At 50.3% G+C, this 19594-nt stretch overlaps 1 protein-coding gene across 1 annotated transcript in view, besides 2 other annotated features; it reads right to left on the bottom strand.

Annotated features, from left to right (window-relative positions):
• The window catches only part of LRRC37A2 (leucine rich repeat containing 37 member A2), a 676337-nt gene that overhangs the window by 139574 nt on the left and 517169 nt on the right, over positions 1 to 19594 (bottom strand). The gene's annotated exons all lie outside the window — the stretch shown is intronic.
• Positions 14571 to 15191: an enhancer, noted in NCBI's record as "H3K27ac-H3K4me1 hESC enhancer chr17:44971730-44972350 (GRCh37/hg19 assembly coordinates)". NCBI's record gives its function as "activates a minimal SCP1, AML or CMV promoter by ChIP-STARR-seq in primed H9 embryonic stem cells {active_cell/tissue: H9 hESC(primed)}" and the evidence as "EXISTENCE:reporter gene assay evidence [ECO:0000049][PMID:30033119]".
• Positions 19075 to 19575: an enhancer, noted in NCBI's record as "H3K4me1 hESC enhancer chr17:44967346-44967846 (GRCh37/hg19 assembly coordinates)". NCBI's record gives its function as "activates a minimal SCP1, AML or CMV promoter by ChIP-STARR-seq in naive H9 embryonic stem cells {active_cell/tissue: H9 hESC(naive)}" and the evidence as "EXISTENCE:reporter gene assay evidence [ECO:0000049][PMID:30033119]".

Raw genomic sequence — 19594 nt, 5'->3', positions numbered from 1 at the left:
TGATGTCACTGTAAAGCATACACTGGCTTTCGAAGACAGTACAGAAAAAGGTAAAAAGGTAAAATATTAATATGCTTACATTTATGTTTTATGTTGAAACGATATTTTTCATCTGTATTGGATTAAATAAAATGTATTAATTTCCTCTGCTCCTTTTTCCATTTTAAATGTGCCATCTAGAAATTTACAATTAAATACATGGCTCATATTAAATACATGCATCTTCCCAGGCACAGCGGCTCACTCCTGCAATCCCGGCACTTTGGGAAGCGAATGCAGGAGGATTGCTTGAGCCCAGGAGTTCAAGACCAGCCTGGGCAACATAGCGAAACCTCATCTCTACAAAAAAAATTTTAAAAATTAGCCAGGGGTGGTGGTGCATACCTGTGGTCCCAGTTACTTGGGAGCCCGGGAGTTGGAGGCTGCAGTGAGCCATGTATGTGCCACTGCACTCCAGCCTGGGTGACAGAGTGAGACTCATGCTACATTTCTATGGCTCAGGGCTGGTCTGGATTGTAACCTTTGGCCTCTGATGAGACTGCAGGCTCCTGGAAGGCAGAGCTGCCTTGGATGGTACTTCTTCCACCAGACCCACCTCTCCCAGCCTGACAGCCCAGGGCCTCCTCATGCAGATGTACAAAGTGGGTCCCCAGTTTTCCAGACTGAATAGCTCCTCCATTTGGGCTCCTCTGAGGTCCCTCAGATCGAAAGAGTGGATCTCAGAGTGGGGTATGAGGGCAGTCCCAGGTGAGCTTTCTGTTGGAGGTGAATGGGACTTTCAGGTTAGGGCCAGAGTGAGGCACGGAGGCCCCTGGGAGGCACTGAGTCTCCGGAAGGTGCAGGTGCTGACCCTGGGGATGTGGCCTGTCTTCCCCTGCTCCCAGCATGGCAGGCTTCAATATGGTTCTTTCATTGGCAGCCAGATGGCGGCCACATCTCTGCAGAAGTCCACAGCTGAACTCACAGCAGTCCCCAGGGTGGTCCTAATGGCTCCCACCCCCTCGGGCAAAATCCCCACTCAACATCCACCAAGCTAGCCTGTGCCCTTCTCTCTTCCACATCCAGCCTCAACTAAGCCAGACCGATGCCGGTTCTCGGAGGCCAGGCAGTCAGGGGCCCTTCCTCCCTTACCCTATTTTCAGCGCCTCCAGGAGACAAGCTGCATTAATGGCGATCATTTTGCAGCTTTGAAAGGGAAGCGCCCAGGACCCTGAGGCATAGGGTGAGAGGACCCCTCTTGAGGAGAGGGCCAGACAGCAGGCATCCCTCAGAGGCCCCCTTCCCGCTGCGGGCCATGAGGCCAACGTGTCCTGACACTGACAGGCTTCCTTGCACAAGCCAGACCTCACAGAGTGAGGGGGGCGGTGGGGGAGGAGGGGGGACACAGAGACAGGAGGACTGGGGGCTCATCTATCATGAAGCGTCAAACAGCAGGGCCATAGCAGCCTCTGCAGCTCACCCACCCTCCAAACCTTAGCCTCCTGGAATCAAGCACATTCCACCATTGGGGGATTAGAGGGTCGGTAACCCAGGCTGAGCTGCCCCCCAGCCTGCTCTCCCACAGTGCCGAGACTGAACTCTTCTACCGGCCATTCCCAAATGGAGTTGTGGTTAAGGGGCCCAGGGCAAAATAGAAATTGATGGGGCCTTTTTGTCTGCTCCTGTTTTTCAGAAAATAGCGCACACACTTTTTTTTTTTAAGACAGGGTCTCACTCTGTCTCCCAAGCTGGAGTACAGTGTCACGATCATGGCTCACTGCAACCTCAAACTCCTGGGCTCAAGCGATCCTTCTGCCTCACCCCCCCCGCTGAGTAGCTGGGACCACAGGCACACACCACCATGCCTACTTAATTTTGGGTTTTTTGTTTTTTTTTTTTTTGTAGAGATGGAGGTTTCACTATGTTGCCCAGGCTGGTATTGAACTCCTGAATTCAACCGATCCTCCTGCCTCAGCCTCCCAATCTGCTGGAGCTACAGGTGTGAGCCCTTTAAAAAAAAAAAAAGTTAAGGGAGCTAAATTGCACTGAGGGTCTCCAAAGTGTTGTTTATGCCAAGAGCTGGGGCTGGAGAGAAAGAGGAGATGCTCAGGTAAGAGCAGAGGACCAACAGACCTTCCCACCGAGCCCAACACCTGTGTCTGAAGCACAAGGGTCAGCTGGCCCCAGGTGCCCCGAGTACTCACTGCCACGGTCAACCTCTCTTTACCAGGTGGGTCCAGAGCATGACATTTCCGCTTCTTCTTCCTCCAAAGGAAGCCCCGCCTGGGGAATTGCAGTCCTGGGAAGAGCTGGGCCCGGAAGAGCCCCAAGCCTTGGCAGTGGCTCATAGAGGCATCAGAAAGGCCTGTGTTTGAATCCTGGCTCAGCCCTCTGCTGTCTGTTGACCTCGGCAGGCTACTTGAATGATCTAAGCCCCTCTTCCCTTCATTGGCAACTGCTTCTAGGATACGTACTCCCGGTGGAGAGGAAAGCCATCTTGTCTTGCCATCAGAGAGACCTGTGTTGGGCCAGTGACTGGCTGTGCATCTTTATACAACTTACTCTTTACAACTTATACTAGTCTGACCTTCAGTTTCCTTATGAGTTTTTTGTGACGACTAAATGAAATCATGTATTTGAGAGTACCTGGTTAGTGAGCTCCAGGTAGGACTCTGTGACAGTGCCTGGCACACATCTGGTGTTCAAGCAATGCTTTTATTTTTGTGCCTCTGGGAGGTGGCATTGCATATTAGGTAAAAGCTTCAACTCTGCAGCCTGAATTCAGATCTGGGCTCTGCTGCTTACTAGATGGGTGATCTTGGGTAAGTTGCTTAACCTCTCTGTGCCTCAGCCTCTTCCTATATGAAGTGGGCATAATCAGAGCACCTTTCTCATAGGGTTGTTATGAGGCTTATATAATATCAGTTCATAATTATAAAGGGCACATGATACATGGTATTGGAGTGTTATATTAAATAAAATTAAATTAGCTGGGCATGGTGGCATGCACCTGTAGTCTCAGCTACTCAGGAGGCTGAGGCATGAGGATGATGGCTTGACTCCAGGTGTTGAAGGCTGCAGTGAGCTATGATCTCACCACTGCAGTCCAGCCTGGGTGATAGAGCAAGATCATGTCTCTTAAATAAATTTAATTTAATTTTTAAAATAAAATTTATTCCCCACCTTCCTGGTGTAGACATGCTCATCACCTGTCTGCTGGCCAGGGTTCAGGCCTTCTGCAGGCCCTGTCCTGTTAGTTCAGGGAAGTCCTTTCCGACCTTATGTCTATTTTTTATGGGAGAGGTGAGGGAGCCATGCTCCAGAAGAGGCTGGGTGAAGGCCTTGACTCAGCCTCTGGTCCTTGCCTCCCACCCCACCCATCAGCCTGGTCAGAAGCCAGGACACAGAGCTCCTTCATGGGCTGGATCTCAGGAGTGGGGGCTGGGCTGGGCTGAGTGAGCTGCTCCTCACTGCTCAGGAAGAGAACGACAGGCAGGGAACACATTCGTAACCACCCAGCGGTCAGCACAAAGGTGGCGCAGGAGGAGCTTCCTCTTCAGGAGGAAGGGAGAAGGTCGGCAGCCCATATCCGGCCCTGCCCGTTCCTCCCAGATGCTGTGGAAAGATGTCCTGGCCACTCCCTCATTGCTGGGCGGGGTCTTTCCTTCACACTGGGGCAGGTCCCTTTGAGGACCCTGGTCTGGAGGGCTGGGCACATACTCACAGGCACACAATACCCTTACCCCATCCCCCAACAAACGCACACACACACACACACACACACACACACACACAAACACACAGAGTACAGGGGTAAAGCAACTGATTAATGACTTGGCTGTTTGTCTTCCAGGGGGCTGTTCCAGGCTGCACGTCCATACCATCTGATGCACACTGGGCTGTTGGGGATGATGGCTTAGCTGTCGGTGCTCCTTGCCCAAAAGGTCAAGGTCATGGGTCAATCCCTAGTAGGGCCATAGATTTTCTTCTGTTTCATAGCCACAGGTGCCATCCTGCACCAGGGCTTGCTCTCTTCTTCATGTGTGACATGTACAAAAGGAAACAACTTACGACTCAGCTGAAGGATGAAACAAAGTCTTCTTGCTGCTGTCCACTCTTGCTGGAAGTGGGTTATTCCAAGCATCATCTTTAAAGGGAACTACAAATTCTGTGACACAGGCTGTCTAAGAAGGTCATCCCAGCTGGATACGGTGGCTCACATCTGTAATCCCAGCACTTTGGGAGGCCGAGGCAGGTGGATTACCTGAGGTCAGGAGTTCGAGACCAGCCTGGCCAACATGATGAAACCCTGTCTCTACTTTAAAAAATACAAAAATTAGCCAGGTGTGGTGGTAGGCACCTTTAATCCCAGCTACTTGAGAGGCTGAGGCAGGGAGAATCGCTTGAACCCGGGAGGCAGAGGTTGCAGTGAGCCGAGATGGAGCCATTGCACTCCAGCCTGGGCAACAGAGCGAAACCCCATCTCAAAAAAAAAAGAAAAAAAAAGGTCTTTTCTCTAGGGCCGCTGCCATTCCCCTTTATCCAATGTAGAAACTGAGGCTTTGGAACAAGCGGAGACCTGCTGAAAGATCCCACAGCTGGTTTCTTTACGGTGGGGGTGGACAACTCCTGCTTTGTGTGTTGGGAGGCAGAGACCCGGGAGGGGCCCCAAAGAGATGGGAGTGCCCCATCTTCAAGGGAGAAGCAGAGTTCTGCAGGAAACCCCAGGCAAGGACACTGTTTCTGAGGCCTTTGTTGGGAAAGTTTCCTGTCATCTCCAAGTGGAGAACAGGCCTGTGTTCATGTGAAGGCTTCATGCAAGTCTCCTGAGTTTGAAACTTTATGCCTCTTCAGTCCACTCTAACCTGAATTGAGAATACAATGAGAACTAGAAGAGCAGATGCTGTGATAAGGTTGCCATGAGAGATGGTGAGCTCCATCCACACATTCATTCATCCATCTACCCACCCACTCACCTGCACATCTTCCCATCACCTATCCATCCAACCAGCCAGCCAGCTACCCGTTCATCCATCCATCCATCCATCCATCCATCCATCATCCGTCCAGCCACCCATCCACCCATCCATCCATCCATCCATCCATCCATCCATCCATCCATCCATCCAGTCAGCCAGCCACCCAGCCACCCACGCACCCACCAACCCATCCATCCATTTATCCAGCCAGCCAGTCAGCCACCCACCCATTCACCAACCACATCCATCCACCCATCCACCCCATCCATCCACCCATCTACCTATCCATCCACTCACTCATTTACCCACCCACCCATTCATCCACCCATCCATCCACCCACCTACCCATCCAGTCACCCATACATCCATCTACCCACCTTCCCACCCACCCATATATCCAGCTAACCAGCCACCCATCCACCCATCTACCCACTAATTCATCTGCCCAGCCACCCAGCCACCCTACACATCCACCTACCCAGCCATCCATCCAGCCATCTAGCCACCCATACATTCATCTACCCAGTCACTCACCCATCCACCAACTCATCTATCTAACCCCCATCCACCCACCCATACATTTATCCAGCCACTCATCCACCTAGCCAGCCAGCCACCATCCACCCACACACACATCCAACCCTTTCATCCATCTACCCACCTATCTACCCGACCACCCATTCATACATTCATACAGCCACCCATTCATCCATCTACCCACCCACTCATCCCTACATCCACCCACCTATCCATCATCCACTCATCTACCCACCCACCCATCTATCCACCCCACCCATCCATCCATCCACCCACCCATCCAACCACCCCACCCATCCATCCACTCACCCACCCATTCATCCATCCATCTACTCCCCAAGCCACCCATACATCCATTAAGCCACCCACCCATACATCCGCCCACCTGTTGAGCACCTATAATAAGCCAGATTTGGTGTAGGGTACTGGAATCCAGAGAGGTGGAAGCCATGGTTCTTACCTTCCAATTGTTTTCCAGTGAGAGTGACAGCATCAATCAGGATACAAGTACCTGGAAGCCCTACCTGAAATAAGAAGGAAAATTTATTTCACATAAGAAGGCCAGAGGTAGGGAACCTCTGGATTGGTCAATTCAGGGGCCCAAAGGCATCATTGAAAATTCAGATTTTTTCTGTTTTTCTGCTTGACCCTCCCTCCAAGTGCCTGCCAGTTCAGCTCATGGTGCCAAGGGGCTACCACACATCTGGGGACTGCAGACAATTCCTGTAATAACTGAAGTATAAGAGGAACAGTTTCTTCTTGCATTTTTTTTTTTTTTGAGACAGAGTCACACTCTTGTTGCCCACGCTGGAGTGCAATAGTGCAATCTTGGCTCACTGCAACCTCCACCTCCCGGGTTCAAGCGATTCCCCTGCCTTAGCCTCCCAAGTAGCTGGGATTACAGGCATGCACCACCATACCTGGATAATTTTGTATTTTTAGTAGAGATGGGGTTTCACCATGGTGGCCAGTCTGGTCTTGAACTCCTGGCCTCAAGTGATCCGCCTGCCTTGGCCTCCCAAAGTGCTGGGGTTACAGGCATGAGCCACCACACCTGGCCCCTTCTTGAATCCTTTTTCGAGAAAGGAGACCTTTCTGCAGTCCCAGGCAGAACTTCCCTTCAACTGTCATTGGCTAGCACTGCATCTATGTGCAAATTAGTCTCTGAAAAGGAAAAAGGAATAACCACACCTGGCTTAGGTGAGTCATGATTTATCCCTTAGCTGAAGATGGCGATCCCTTCCCCAGGGGAGAACGGGTATCTGATCAAAACCAGGGCTCTCTCTATCAGGAAGAAGGGGAAACTGACCACAGGGTTGGCTACTCACGGTATCTGTGGGCAACCAGGTGAAAGATCTAAATGTTTTGTGTTTCTTCCTCACCCCAGAAGCAGCATGATAAACTCATTCCTGGCTTTCTCAGCAACCCCCACCCAAGCCCCCACTCTGCCTGTTTGTTTTTCCCCCTGGACTGACTGCTTGGCCACAAACTGCTCCTTGTTTGTTGTTAAAACTTGGCCGAGTGAAAACTTCCTGCCATAGCATTTTGTCTCTCTCTCTGTCTCTATCTTACACACACACACACACACACACACACACGCACTGTTCCCTTATCGAGATTTCAAATGAATTACTCTGAATATCTCATCTTATGGGGAAAGTAAGTTTCAGCACATTGCACCCTCCGCATCACAGACATTCCTCATCTATTTCTGACAAGGTTAGCACAAGTAGGGATCTATGAGCCTCCATTTCTTCACAATCAATTTACAGCTGAAGACTGGGCTTGATCTAAAGCACGGGAAAAATAACACCTAAACTCATGTGCACCACCCGGACTTCCCAGAAGGAAGATGCTTCAGGAGGGCAGCATCTAGGGAGGAGGAAGGAGGCTGCTCACCTCATTGGGTCAACACCAGGCACCAGAAGGAATCCCAGTGGTAAAGATCTTGCGGCCCAGTGCCGTGGCTCATACCTGTAATCCCAGCACTTTGGGAGGCCAAGGTGGGTGGATCACCTGAGGTCAGGAGTTTAAGACCAGCCTGGCCAACATGGCAAAACCCTGTCTCTACTAAAAATACAAAAATTAGCTGGGCACAGTGGCGGGCGCCTGTAATCCCAACTACTCGGTAGGCTGAGGCAGGGAGAATCACTGAAACCTGGGAGATGGAGGTTGCAGTGAGCCGAGATTGCGCCATTGCGCTCCAGCCTGGGTGACAGAGTGAGACTCTGTCTCAAAAAAAAAAAAAAAAAAAAATTCTTGCTCCATTTAGCCCAGAGACAGTACAAGGCAGCTGACATTGTGGGGGAAACCAAAGGATTTGTTGCAGGTGACTCAATTGCCTTAAGCATGAAGAGATATCAGACTAGACCTATTGCTTGGGATTCTGATGTTCTCTTCAGCTTCTTTCCCATTAGAAGGCTGGAGAACTTTCCTATGCCACCTACTACACTGAATACAAAAATCAAGTCCCTCACGCAGACCTGCTTGCTCTATGTAACAGGGCCCTGGCTCCCTCATGTGTCTTAGCTTGTGTCACTCTCCCTGGCTGCCCCAGCTCCAGCTGCATTGGCTCTCTTGCTGTTCTTTAAACGTGCTGGGCTGGGCGTGGTGGCTCATGCCGTAATCCCAGCACTTTGGGAGGCTGAGGCAGGCGGATCACCTGAGGTCGGGAGTTAAAGACCGGCCTGGCCAACATGGTGAAACACCGTCTCTATTAAAAATAGAAAAATTAGCCGGGCATGATGGTGCAAGTCTGTAATCCCAGCTACTTGGGAGGCTGAGACAGGAGAATCACTTGAACCCAGGAGGCAGAGGTTGCAGTGAGCTGAGATCGCACCACTGCACTTCAGCCTGGGCGACAGAGTGAGACTCCATCTAAAAAAATAATAATAATAAAATAAAAATAAATAAATAAATAAATGTGCTGGGCTTATTTTCACTTCAGTTCCCTCTACCTCAAACATCTTCCTCCTATCTTAGCTCAGAAACCAGTTTTTCAGATAAATCTTCTTTTAATGCCTATGTAGGGCAGTCCTTCCCCCTTTATCTGATTAATTTCCATTGCATTACAGCTGATTGGGAAAGACATTGCTTTTCGTTTATTTATTTCTTATCCACCTCCCCTCCCCACTAGAATGTAAGCCTCTGAGCACCAGATCCTGGCTGTCTTGATCCCCACTTTGTTTTATGGCCCAGAGCACAGAGCTTGGCTTGTAGATGGTGTTCAGTAATGAATAAGTTAATGGTATCTCCAGGCCAAACCACCTTTCTGGGATGACATGGAAAGAAAAAAAACACATACAACTGCTGCCAAAGTGCCTAATAAAGATTAGCTAGTATTATAGTCTCCCCACCCTACCTTGTACTGTACTGCTGAACACAGTGCAGTGAGTTGAATGCGAGAAGCGGGTATACACTCTTTCCTAAATGCTGCTCCTTCTCCAAACTCTTCACCATCCTCATCCTTTAAGGGTGATTGTACTTCCAGGGGGCTCAAGAAATAGAAAGGGCCAGGCACCGTGGCTTACGCCTGCAATCCCAGCACTTTGGGAGGCCAAGGCGGGTGCATCACCTGAGGTCAAGAGTTGGAAACCAGCCTGGCCAACATGGTGAAACCTCATCTCTACTAAAAATACAAAATTAGCTGGGTGTGGTGACACACACCTCTAGTCCCAGCTACTAGGGAGGCTGAGACAGGAGAATCTCTTGAACCCGGGAGGCAGAGGCTGCAGTGAGCCAAGATCATGCGACTCCACTCCAGCCTGGGCAACAGAGCGAGATTCCATCTCAAAAAAATATATATATACATATATATATGTGTGTATATATATATATATGTGTGTGTGTGTGTGTGTATATATATATATATATATATATATATATATATATGTATATGTATATATATAGAAAAGGATGGGAGGAGGTGGTGAAATTGTACTCCTGTTGAATTCCTACTACATCTAACAGTACCGATGCCTGTGCACTCCCTGTACCCCAGGCACTGTGCTGTGTGGATAAGATACAGATCCTTGTGCCCATTCTACAGATGAGGACTCTGAGACTCACGGGGGTTGAGTGACTTGTCCAAGGTCCCTGAACTAGAGGGGAATGAGCTGAGGTTGTACCCCTATAGTTTGACTGAAGAGTCTGTGCCCTTAACTACCCCCACTATATATCTCCTTAATTCCAGGTGGGGTCACTGTAAGAATGAAATACAACAGCAATCAACCTGCTTAACACAATCTCCTAGCATATTCTAAATAACAGTTCTATGGGGATACAATTCACATAAAGTTCACCCTATTAAAATATACAATTCAGTGGGTTGTATATACTCAGTGTATATTCACAGAGTTGTGCAACCATCACCAGTAATTCCAGAGCATTTTTCATTACCTCCTCCCAAAACCCATACCTACTAGCAATCACTCCCATTCCCTCCTCCCCTTAGTCCTAGGCAACCACTAATCTGTTTTCTGTGTCTATGGATTTTTCTATTCTGGACATTTCATATAAATGGAATCATACAATATGTAGTGTTTTGTGTCTGGCTTCTTTCACTTAGCATTATGTTCTCGAGGCTCATTTACGTTGTCTGTGTGTCAATGTCAGTACTTTGTTTTTGTTTGTTGGTTTGTTTGTTTGTTTGTTTTGAGACAGGGTCTCGCTCTGTCACCCCGGCTGGAGTGCAGTGGCATCATATTGGCTCACTGCAACCTCTGCCCCGCTGGGCTCAAGCCATCCTCCCACCTCAGCCTCCTAAGTATCTGGGACCACAGGCACATGACACCATACCTGGCTATTATTATTATTATTATTTTGTATTTTTAGTAGAGGCAGGGTTTTCGCCACACTGGCCAGGCTGGTCTCCAACTCCTAAGCTCAAGTGATCCGCCAGCCTCAGCCTCCCATAGTGCTGCGATTATGAGTGTGAGCCACTGCACCCAGCCGTGTGTCAGTACTTCATTCCTTTTTATGGTCAAATAATATTCCATTGTATGGATATACCACAATTTGTTTATCCATTCACCAGTGGATGGACATTTGGGTTGTTTCCACCTTTTCCTTATTATGAATAATGCTGCTATGAACATTCACATGGAAGTCCTTGCATGGACATTTGTTTGAATTCCCTTGGGTAAATACCTAGGAATGCAATTGCTGGGTCATATGGTAACGCTATGTTTAACATTTTGAGGAACTGCCAGACCGTTTTCCAGAGAAGTTACACCAATTTACATTCCTACCAGCAATGGACGAATGTTTCAATGTATGAGGGAGGCTAGGTGCTGTTATTATGACTGGTTATTATTACTGTTGAAATATGCAATTGTCTGACTCTCTGTTGAATCTGGCTACATTAGGCAAGGATTCCACTGGAAACTCGAGGATTCCCAAGGCAAGAATCACCATTTTCTGTTCAGGTGTCGTTCCTCATCCTCTGCTTCCTATCTTTCCTCCTGGCCCTAGTCTCTAATGCTCCTCCATTCCCAAGTTGAGTTTCCTTCTCCAGGTCTTACTTGTGCCCTCCTCACATACAGTGTCAGTCCAGAGATGAGGCCAGGTCTCATAAGAAGAGGCCATGGCCAGGGTGGGCAGAGAACAGCTGAGCAGCCCTCTTCCTGGGACAACCTTGAACTTGGCAATGGAAACCCTTGGGGTAGCAGGCCAAGGCATCCCATGGGAATTATTTTACATGTACAACATTTATTTGTTGATACTGCTAAGATTTCAGTTGTTAACAGTTTGGAACTTTTTCTGTGCATGTTTTTGAGGCTCTGAGGCCATCTATTTGTTGGCTGGGGGAGGGTGGGAGGTGGAAAGAGAAAAGTTCTTTCCCACATTTTCCTTGGGGTATCTCAGCAAGGTCACGGTAGTGCCTAACGCTGAAAAATGTGGAGAAAGGTTGGCCTTTGGGTGAATGGGATGGAGGGGATGCAATTAGGATGGGCCAGGCCCCGTGATCCATCCCCAGTAATGCTCTGCTCTGTCTCCGGAACATTCATACAACCTCCTCCAGGACACCCTTTGGCCTACTTCCCAGTGTATTTTCTGGAAAAAGAGGAGACCACATTAGAGGCCATGTACCCCCTCCCTCCTTGAGCAGTCCTCACCTGGGTCCTGGGTGTGCAGGACCCACCCACATGACACCTCTTGTTTCCTCTTTGGAAAGTTCACAGCCAGAACCCAGGACCCAGGTAGGAGAGAAGCAAGGGGTTCAGGAGTCTCCATGATATTTTGCTATGGAGCAGAGTCAATAAAGAAAGGTAGCCAGCGTGGTGGCTCACACCTGCAATCCCAGCACTTGGGGAAGCTGGGGTAGGAGGATTGCTTGAGCCCTGGAATTCGAGACCAGCCTAGGCAACATGACGGTGAGACCCCATCTCTACAAAAATAAAAAATAAAAAACAAAAAATAAAATAAAAAAAGGTACACCCAGAGCCTGCACAAGAAAAGCCATTCACCAAGCACCATCACCCCAGGAAGCTTCTCAATCCAGTGTGAGTCCAAGGATGGACTCCACATCAGTGACTCTATGGCCCCCAATACTGGCTCATGGTAACCTAGAGTTCTAGTTTATGGCAGCTCTGGGTGGACTCCTCCAGGGTTCTAGGTCCTATGTCCTGTGGTCCAAGTGGTTCCAGATGTCAACAACCCCAGGGGAAGGTGACCTTGGCTAATGGTAGCCTCGGATTCTAGGCATCAGTGGTCCTGCTAATGACTATTGGAGACAGTGGCCCTAGACTTTGGTAGCCCTGGGAAATCTGGGTGCTGGTGATCCTGGGCATTACTGATGGAGGCTCCACAGTTCCAGGTGCTGGCCGCCTTCTGGAACTAGGTCTCAAGCCTGTAGGCATTGGCCGCAGCTGGTCAGAAACAAAGGAAGAGGAGCCAAGCCAGAGTCTGCCTGGTGCTGCTGAGCTGCTGCTCAAGCGTTCTTGGTACTCGAGCGGTCGCAGCAGATTCTTTCTCTTCTGAAGTTCCTCTCTTTCTGTTTATCTAGCGACCTCCTCCAGGGGCACACCCATTAGCTTGTGGGTCTTCTGTAGTCCCCTCAGGAACGTGGGAGAGTCACAGTCTGTAGCATTTGACTTGAAGCTGGAAAGCCCTAGTAAGACCCAATAGTGTTGATTTGGGGACTTCTTTTGGCCTGGACTCTGGTGGGGGGTGTCCAGCCCTAGATGCCCTCAGGGTCCCAGGCCCATGCTGTGTGACTTTCTCCCCACACACTCCCCTCCTGCTTGGGCGCTGGAATCCAGGAGGAATAGGGGACAGTGAGTGGCAAGGACTGCCTTGTGGTGGGACGGACATCATAGAAAGCAGCACATAGTCTGCAGATGGAGGGAAATAGGCAGGGCCAAGCTGTCGCTTTGCCTTGAGAGTGACCATGATGGAGCTTGACCAGTTCATGACCTGTGCGCTAACCTTGGTCTTTTTTTAATGTGTTTGTTTGAAACAGGGTCTCACTCTGTCACCTAGGCTGATCTCAAACTCCTGGGCTCAAGCAATCATCCTGTCTCAGCCTCCCAAAGTTCTGGGATTACAGGCATGAGCTGACACAGTACCTGGCCTTGGTCTGTCTTTCTTTCTTTCTTTCTTTCTTTTTCTTTCTTTCTTTCTTTCTTTCTTTCTTTCTTTCTTTCTTTCTTTCTTTCTTTCTTTCTCTTTCTTTCTTTCTTCTCTCTCTCTCTTTCTTTCTTTTTCTTTCTTTCTTTCTCTCTCTCTCTTTCTCTCTTTCTTTCTTTCTTTCTTTTTCTTTTTTTGAGAGAGAGTCTCACTCTGTTGCCCAGGCTGCAGTGCAATGGTGTGATCTTGGTTCACCGCAACCTCCGTCTCCCGGGTTCAAGTGATTCTGCTGCCTCAGCCTCCCGAGTAGCTGGGATTACAGGCATCTGCCACCAGGCCCAGCTAATTTTTTTTGTTTTTTCTTTTTGGTTTTTTTAGTAGAGACGGGGTTTCACCATGTTAGCCAGGATGGTCTCGATCTCCTGACCTCATGATCTGCCCGCCTTGGCCTCCCAAAGTGCTGGGATTACAGGCATGAGCCACTGCGCCCAGCCTGGCCTTGGTCTTTCTTAATCCCCAGATGGAACCCCCTCTGCCCCCACCAGCTTCCCCTTCAAGACCCTGCCCAGCACCAGGCTCCCACCCCTCAAGCTCAGATCAGGCCCTGCTCCCACTTGTCTCCTGGATCCTCAGACACCTGCAGTAGGACCAGGGGCTTGCCCAGCAGCAGATGGTTCCAAACAAGGCAAGATTCTTGGAGTAGCAGAAAATATTTCTGCACCCACCATGTACCAGCACAGAGCCGTGGGGAAGCTGCTTCTCTGCAAAATGGGAGTAACAGGACCTGCCATGCAACGTTGCTGTGAGGACTGGTTAAATCAATTATCATTAAGAAAATAAAACTTGGGAAATTCCCAGGCACAACCTTTCTGAACCTCTGCATGGCAGGGTAACAGCAATTATCTAGAGGCCTATTGAGAGAACCAAATAGTGACAATGGCGGGGACAGAATGCTCAGACAGGCCAGGCACCATGTCAAGCACTTCACTGCATCATCTCAATCTTCACATCAGCCTCCATGGTAGGCACCACGGCCACTGACCCCACCTCACGGGTGAGAGCTGTGGCACAGAGAGGTTCCGTCCTCATAACACAAATGGGGAAGTTAGGATTTGACTCGTACAGCCCAGCTCCTGAGCCTGCATGGTTAAGCCTTGGGCTGCGGCTACCTCAGAACTGGAAGCACTTCATAAGGCTCCATGTACAAGTTAGTTATTATAAGTCACTTGTGGGGCTAGGGTGGGGGATCCCAGCTAGCAGCCTCCGCACTGACCGGTGGCTGAACCCAGGCTGGGCTGTCTGCCCTGGGAGCAGGGCGATGCCTGGGGACTGATGGCCCCGTGTCCTCTCAGCCGGGCGCTGGGAGGGCCTAAGGCCACCTTCCTGTGGTCTCTGCTGTGGTGCAGGCAGGGGCCACCACCAAGGAAGGTGGGATCCAGCCTGTCTGGGCAGGTCTGCTCTGCCGAGATCCGGCCGGCTCTCCAGTGGCTGGGATGCCCCAGAGCGGACAGGCGAGCACGTCCCGTCCCGAGCACAGGCCCCTGCCCGGGAGGCCCCGCTAATGACCCCGTGCATTCCGGCTTGCATGGCCCGGGAATTGGCTGTGGGCAGGCCCATTAGCTGGAATCCTCCCAATGCTCACACATCAGAGTGGAGGGGGGAGAAGTGAAAAGTTGAAAAAGAGCTAATTATCGCTTTTATCAGAGCGGGTGGGTTGATGGGTCCTGCCCGAGGGCAGCTGGGACTGCATTAAAGATTAAACGCCAGGTGGGGGGAGTGAGCTCGTCATTCCACAGGAGGGGGGCCGGCTGGCGGCCCCACGGAGACCTGGTGGCAGGCGGCAGCCTTAGATCTGTCAGCCAAGCCCTCTGTCCCAGCACCCACCACAGCCACATTCCACCAGGGGACCCCCGCAGTGCCGGCACTTCCGCCCCATGGGGAGGGCAGCTGAAGTCCAGGTCTGCTCCCTCAAGGGCTGTAGGGTCGGGGCAAGCCTAATTATCCAATTGGTAGGTTTCCTGGCACCTGTCTTAGGGGGACTTAATGACCCCTGCACATCAGCCAGTGACCTTCTGTGTAAACCTACATTGGAATCTTATGAGGCCTGGCAAAACCCAAGGTCGGGTAGGCTGACCCCCCTTGTTATTACAGAGCAAGAGCCCAAGGCCCAGAGAAGGAAAGGGACTCAGTCAATCACATTGCCCGCTGTGAAGTTAGTCCCATGAGGTTGCGAGTCCATTGAGGACGTGGCTGCATCTTCAGCACTTTGTACCTAAGGTATTGACATTAAAGGAACAGGGCGACTAGCTCAGAACAAAGCCAGGGTGAATTTGTTATACCATCGCAACCCAACAGTGTTTTGTATGTTCGAGGTGTTTCACAGGTGTTTGTTGGCTGCAATCAGGGCGGCACCTAAGTGGTCACAGTAAGCATTCTCCAAATCTTGGGGGCGAATTCACTGGCTGTAAATAAAGGATGAGTATCCTGGTCTGGAGTTACAAACCAAGCCATGGGTGAGCCAGCTGTGCTAACCCTGCCGTGCTCAGCATCACTGTTTGTGTCTTGATGAAAATGTCCACCAAGGCACCTCCACGCCCACTTGAAGCATGACATCCATGCTCTGGCCCCACCAGGGACCCTCAGCCCCTGGCCACCTTGGCTTTTTCCAGGCTCTGCCCTAGCTCAGGAGAATGAATTGGGCTCTTTGCTTCTTTCTTTTGCCGACAGTTACAGCAATCTTTCTAGACTCCTCTAGAAGCCAGAGCCTTCCAGTTTGTTTTTTTCAGGATTCCAACCTCAGCTTGGAACTCAATGGCTGTTCTTACATCTCCCCATAGTGAGGAGATTCTACAGGTGACATGTAGCTACCCAAGTCAAGGGGGTCCTGCCCTCCCCTACTCTGCTCATATACACTGTCCCACAGGCAGACACCCTCCACCCAAGATGATATGGGCTAGACTACCCTAGGAGAGACCCATAAATGCCTGGTGGGGAGAATGAAAGAGTCTGGGCAAAGACAGATAAAAAGGGTCTGAGGTCCATAAAGGACCCCAAGCTGTAACTACACTGGCCACATGAGGATAAATGAGTTTGAGCAAAGATAGATAAAAAGGATCAGAAGTCCATAAAGGACCCCAAGCTGAAACTACAGTGGCCACTGTCCAAGAAGGCAGCCAACATGTTGCTGGATTGCTATGAAATATTTGAATACAGGAACCTACTCCTCAGCACCAGGTACTTCTTAAGAAAGTTCAGGTAGCCAAGCGCGGTGGCTCATGCCTGTAATCCTAGCACTTTGGGAGGCCGAGGCAGGTGGATCACTTGATGTCAGAAGTTTGAGACCAGTCCCGCCAACATGGTGAAAACCCAACTCTACTAACAATACAAAAATTAGCCAGGCATGGTGGTATGCTTCTGTAATCCCGGCTACCCAGGAGGCTGAGCCATAAGAATTCTTGAACCAGGAGGCAGAGGTTGCAGTGTGCCAAGATCGCACCATGCACTCCAGCCTGGGCAACAGAGCAAGACTCCATCTCAAAAAAAAAAAGAAAAGAAAAAGAAAGGTCAGGTAGTCCTGGACTGCATAAGCCAGCACTCTGCAGTTCTTCAACAGACACTTACACAGTGGTGATGAATCTTTTGATTAATTTTATGTATATTTGATGATCTACATCAGCCACTAGATTGAACAACCATGAAAACTAGGACCATGCCTTTTTTTGTCCATCCTTGAGCCCCCAGTACCTGGCCTGGCACATCACAGGACTGTTTAAATATTTATTGAAGGAGAGAGGAGAGGAGGGAGGAAAGAAAGAAGGGGAAGAATTTTTTCAGGAATCGAGGTGGCTTGAGAGCCAGTTCTTGCTCATAGAAGCTCACAGTCCAGTGTGGGGAGAGAGATGGACAGATGGACAGACACCTACAATGCTAGTGCAGGCATAAAGGGAAAATCAGTCCGATGGTGGAAGCTCAGAAGAGGAAGTGCTTTCTACGGCTGAGTCTTTAAGGCTGAGCAGGAGTGAGTTGGATGGACAAAGGCAGGAAAGTCATTGTCAGTAGGACTGGCACATACAAAGGCACAGAGCTGGGAACACGTGGTCAGCATTCAGAGACAGGTGATTTGGCTCAGGGGATGGGGCTGTGGTGTACCTTGAGGGGCATTGGAGGTATGGGTCTGGGAAGGTAAGCTGGATGGTGGGGAAGAGCTGAGGGACTTACCTGGGGTTTTTAGGCAGGGGTGTGACATTTCCAGCCACCAAGCATAAAGGGAGGAGGCCTGTGCAGTGGCTCACACCTGTAATCCCAGCACTTTGGGAGGCCGAGGCAAGTGGATCACTTGAGATCAGGAGTTCGAGACCAGTCTGGCCAACGTGGTGAAACCCCATCTCTACTAAAAATACAAAAATTAGCTGGACATGGTGGTGGACACCTGTAATCCCAGCTACTCCAGAGCTGAGGCAGGAGAATCACTTGAACCCATGAGGTGGAGGTTGCACTGAGCTGAGATCACACCACTGCACTCCAGGCTGGGTGACAGGGCAAGACTCCATCTCAAAAAAAAAAAAAAAAAAAGAAAAGAAAAGAAAAGAAAAGAAAAAAAGAGTAAAAGGAGGAACTTGGAAACTCTAAGGACTGCCATTAACCTTCACTAGAAACAGAGACCATTTAGTTTGGAGCCAAGAAAGCTCTGGGGTTCCTGAAGCCCCTGCAGAGGGGAGTCCTCTGGTCAGGGGATAAAGAAGGACCAGGCCTAGTGAGAGGATGAGACTGGGCCACATGCAAGGACATTTCTGGCTGGAAGGCTGTCAGGTCATGTGGAACGGGAAGCATTTCATGGCGGTGATAATTTTCTCCCTGGTGTTCCGTACAGACAAACTGACATCCTCCCAACTGAACTGATAGCTTTGGGAGGGAGAAGGTTTGAGGGGCCCAGATGAGAGCCCCTGGCTGCGTACCCCTTGGAAGCCTCTCAGATCTTGGCCCAACTGAGGACGTTGCAGATGGTGGGGTGAATGCAGACCATCCATCAAAGAGGTCAGAGTGTGGTGTCCTCACTGCACAGCTGGGCCCTGGCGACCTTGCTTTGGGTTCTGGTTGGGTCATCTTCCATCTGTGACCTTGGCAAGAGGCTTCATCTCTCTGAGCCTCAGTTTCCTTATCTGCAAAAGAGGGATGATAAGGCACCCCTGCCTGCCCTGTGGGCTATGGCGAGGCTCAAAAAGAAAGGCCACGGAAGACACTTTGTAAACAGGAATGCGCTACACAAAGGTTAAATATGATTATTAACACGTAATACCCAAGTCACAGGACAAGGAAGACCCAGACACAGAATTTCAGGGTCTGGACCCAACTTTTCTAGAGGCTGAGACTAGCCAGACAGCCCTGAGGCTGCCAGGGGTCGCCCTCCTGTCTCTCCCCATCAGGTGCTTTGCAACGTAAATTCAAAATCCTGCTCTTCCCCTTTCCAGCCTCAGGCAAGGGCTTTTCATTTCGCTGTGCCTCAGTTTCCTCAACTGTCAAGTGGTGATAGGTGCACCTACCTCAGGGGCTGTTAATGGAAATTAAATAGGATGAGGCGGGCAAAGTCCTGGCTCAATACCAGGCCCACTGAACAAGAGCATTAAAACGGGTGGTTCTTGGCTTCCTTCCTTCCTTGCATCCAACCCCCGCCCGTGCCTCTTGCTTCTGCTTTTGTCTCTTCCTGAGAGCTTTGCCCAGGGCTCCTGAGGGACCCCATGGCTGGTGAGATCCTTGGAGCTTGGGCTGTTGGAAGGCAGGCTTGTGACAAGGTCCAAGGGTTACTATGGACAACGCCATCACAAAGACAGGCCATGCCTGTGGCTGAAGGAGATAGACCCCGGTTCAGGGGCTGAGCACAGTGGTTTTGCCAGGAGTCTCTCAGTTGCAAAATTTCACAGCCCTGGGAATTCTCAAATGGAGTGACCAAATGTGGTCCCAGAGCAGTGCTGTCACACGACACCAGTATGAGTCTACCTCGAGGGTCCTGGGATGCCAAGACCTCCCGCTCCCTGGTCTCGGGGCCTGAGCTCCTGATGGCAGTCCAGGAGGGACTGCTCTCCTTTGCCCACTCCCCACCATCCAGCCTCTTATCGAATTGGCAGGAAGGAGGAAAGCCCACCAGGGGACTCACAGACCCGAATTCTTCCTCCTGAAGCACCCTCCAGCTGGATGGCCCTTGTCCCTCGTGGAGCACTTTAGGCAGAGTTGGGAAACCACAAAAATTTTAAGCTGAGATGAAGGAACGTAATGGGCTCTAATCTGAACTGACAGCAGCATGATTAGTCGGCACAAGACTGCAGGAGCAGCGGGGGACTGACAGGGAGGGAAGAGGAGCGAGGAGGAGGAGGGATGAGGGACAAAAGACATAGAGCAGACCCAAGAATGAGGCAGGGCCTCAGGGGTGGAGATGCAGGCCGGGCTGAAATGGTGGCATGGGAGGGGCTGCTCAGGATGATACTTGCGGTAATAATAGTAATTGCAGAGAATGCTTGTTTAGAGCTGACAATATG

The sequence above is a fragment of the Homo sapiens genome, chromosome 17, assembly GCF_000001405.40.
Source record: "Homo sapiens chromosome 17, GRCh38.p14 Primary Assembly".
NCBI classification, from domain to species: Eukaryota; Metazoa; Chordata; class Mammalia; order Primates; family Hominidae; genus Homo; species Homo sapiens.
This window is presented reverse-complemented; position numbering and strand designations above follow the sequence as displayed.